Source organism: Homo sapiens, chromosome 1 (genome assembly GCF_000001405.40).
Source record: "Homo sapiens chromosome 1, GRCh38.p14 Primary Assembly".
Taxonomy (NCBI): domain Eukaryota; kingdom Metazoa; phylum Chordata; class Mammalia; order Primates; family Hominidae; genus Homo; species Homo sapiens.
This window is the reverse complement of record NC_000001.11, coordinates 121,139,266-121,142,796: the sequence shown is the minus strand read 5'-3', so window position 1 is coordinate 121,142,796 and position 3,531 is coordinate 121,139,266. Positions and strand designations below refer to the sequence as shown.

Here is a 3,531-nt window from a genome sequence, read left to right as displayed (position 1 = left end):
CGAACTATTGACCTCAAATGATCCACCCGCCTTGACCTCGCAACGTGCTGAGATTACAGGTGTGAGCCACTGCGCCCGGCCTGATTTTTCTTTTTCTTAATATCACATCAGAAGCTCAGGCTACAAAAACAAAAATAAATAAAGGGACTACATCAAACTAAAAAATTCTGCACAGGAGAGGAAACAATCAACAAACTTGAAAAGCAACCTATGGACTAGGAAAATATAATTGCAAACCACATATCTGATAAGGAATTAATATCCAAAAAATATAAGGAACTCTTACAACTCAATAGCAGAAGAACAAATAACCCAATTTTAAAAATGGGCAAAGGGCTTTTCTGCCTCCACTGCCACCATGGCGCCCGTGAAAAAGCTTGTGGTGAAAGGGGGCAAAAAAGAAGCAGGTTCTGAAGTTCACTCTTGATTGCATCCACCCCATAGAAGATGGAATCATGGATGCCGCCATTCTACCAATTTTGAGCAGTTTTTGCAAGAGAGGATCAAAGTGAACAGAAAAGCTGTGAATCTTGGAGGAGTGGTGACCATCGAAAGGAGCAAGAGCAAGCTCACCGTAACACCGGAAGTGCCTTTTTCCAGAAGGTATTTGAAATATCTCACCAAAAAATATTTGAAGAACAATAATCTATGTGATTGGTTGTGCATAGTTGCTAACAGTAAAGAGAGTTATGAATTACGTTATTTCCAAATTAACCAGGACAAAGAAGAAGAGAAAGATGAGGATTAAATTTTATTTATCTGGAATATTTTGAATGAATTCTTGAATAAAACTTGGGAACCAAAAAGAATGGGCAAAGGATCTGAGCAGACATTTCTCCAAAGAAATGGGTCACACCAGCTCATTGCTGCAGCAGTGGTGGAGTAAAAAAGGTAGGTAAGGAACGTGAGCAGTATGTGGGAGGTGTCTCATGTACTTTACTAGGGAGCTTGAAGTCTTCCCTGAAGGTAATAAAAATCCAACAATGCAATAAAATTTATTTTTCAAGTTCACCCTGGCAGCACTATGGAGAAAAATTTAGAAAAGATTAAGATGAGAGCTAGGGTCTGTAGATTAGCTTTTAAGGGTTGTCTGTTATATGTAAAATTTTGTGCTTGTGTGACCCTGTGATTCTTCTGTGGAGAGGTTCAGAGTTATTGTTGGATTCTCAAAGGGCTCCATGGCCCAAATAGAGGAGGGTGATCATTAAGGCATCTAATGCAACTGTGATGATGAGAACATGAACCAAGACTGTGGGTGTTACGGCCAGGTGTAACTGGCATTTCTCCAGGCATATCATCCTGAGGGTATGGTTGGGGTACAAAATGCTGCAAGCAGGATTATAGTCAAGCACTGCATAGTGACATTTCAGCCAAATGGACCACATATATGATGGGGTCCCAGAAGATTATCACGGAGCTGAAAAATTCCTGTAGCCTAATAACCATGTAGCTGTCATAAAGTCCTAGCACAATGCATTACTTATGTGTTTATGGTGATGCCCAGTATAAACAGACCCACTTGCTGCCAGTCATATAAGAGTCTAGCACATACAGTTATATACAGTACATAATACTTGAGAATGATAATAAATGACCATGTTACTGGTTTATGTATTTACTATATATTTTGTTGTTTTAGAGTGTACTCCTACTTATTGAAAAAAAAAAGGTAACTGTTAAACAGCCTCTGGGAGGTCCTTCAGGAAGTATTCCAGAAGAAGGCATTGTAATCATAGGAGATGACAGCTCTATGCATGGTATTGTCCCTAAAGACCTCCGAGTGGGACAAGATGTGGAGGTGGAAGACAGTGATATTGATGATCCTGACCCTGTGTAGGCCTAAGCTAATGTGTGTCTTTGTGTCCTAGTTTTTAACAAAAAAAAAGAAAAAATTAAAAATTTAAGATAATAGAATAAAGCTTATAGAATAAAGATATAAACAGAGAAAATATTTTTGTACAGCTGTACAATGTGTTTGTGTTTAAGCTAAGTGTTATTACAAAAGAGTCAAAAAGTTTAAAAAATTAAAAAGTTTATAAAGTAAAAAATTTACAGTAAGCTGAGATTAATTTCTTATTAAAGAAAAAAATGTGTTAAATTTAGTGTAGCCTAAGTATAGAGTGTTTATAAAGTCCACAGTAGTGTATAGTAATGTCCTAGCCCTTCACATTCACTCACCACTCACTCACTGACTCACCCAGAACAGCGTTGAGTCCTGCAAACTCTATTTATGGTAAGTGCCCTATACAGGAGTATACGTTTTTATCTTTTATACTTAGTGGAAAAAACAAAAACTGTTGTTACTCTCCTCTCACATCACAACCACAAAAGACTCCTGAGACCAAATGTATGGCGGTTTCTCGCCACCACCAAGCAAGCAGTCGATTCTACAGACACGCTAGCTTGGTGTCCTCCAGTTCAATTCATTCTGATGCTCTCTACCTGGAGATAGTGTCAGATCATACAGTCCCCAAGACTGCCCCTACTTCACATACCTGTCAGAAGTCTGGACCTCTGGAACTTCTGACCAACTGGCTTTAAGTTGAGATTCCTACATCCTCCTCTTTTGGCTCAATTAATTTGCCAGTGCTGTTCACAGCACTCAGGGAAACACATTTATATATTCTTTATAATACACAAAAAATTATATATTATAAAGAATACCACAAAGCATGCAGATGCAGAGACGCACAGGGCGAGGTATGGGGAAGGGGCTCGGAGCTTCCATGCCCTGCTTGGGTGTGCCACTCTCCAGAAACCTCCATGTGCTCAGCTACCTGGAAATACTCTGTACCCAGTCCTCTTGTGCCTTTGTGGAGACTTCATTGGGTAGTCATGATTGACAACCATGCAGAAATGGGCAAGAAGGGTATGGTCTAATACTAATAGACTGAGTGGAGAAACCCAGCAAGGCCTGTCTGTTCAGATTCTTCTTGGCATCTCTGTGCAGCATTTGTTCCTCCTGGGTGTGAGGCAGGACTCCTTCTGAATTGGGGGTTCTTATGACCTACAGTCAGATAGGGTAGGTAAGAGAATTTCTTTATGGTCAGCTCCAAGAGAGGTGAGAGAAGAGTCCTGCCTTGGGGAGAAAAAGGAGGGCAGGAGGTGGTCGGAAGGCCAGAGAGACAGACATTCTGTTTTCTGAGGCCTGAAGCACCCCAACATTATATAACAAGGGCTATGGGAGTTATGAGTCAGGAGCTGTGGACGAAAGCCAATATGTATACCAAAATATCACATATACCATATTTTTACTGTACCTTTTCTATGTTTAGATATGTTTGGATACACAAATACTGACCATTGTATTACAATTGCCTACAGTATTCAGTACAGTAACATGCTATACGTGTTTGCCACCTGGGAGCAATAAGCAACGCCATACAGGCTAGGTGTGTAGTAGGCTCCACCATCTACATTTGTGTAAGCACATACTATAAGGTTCACACAATGACAAAATCACCTATCAATGCACTTCTCAGAATGCATTTTTAAGTGGTGCATCACTGTATTTGGGGACTTTCTCCTTCC

General features: G+C 40.1%; 1 pseudogene; it reads left to right on the top strand.

The window, feature by feature from the left end:
- On the top strand, positions 339-805 carry RPL22P6 (ribosomal protein L22 pseudogene 6; annotated as a pseudogene).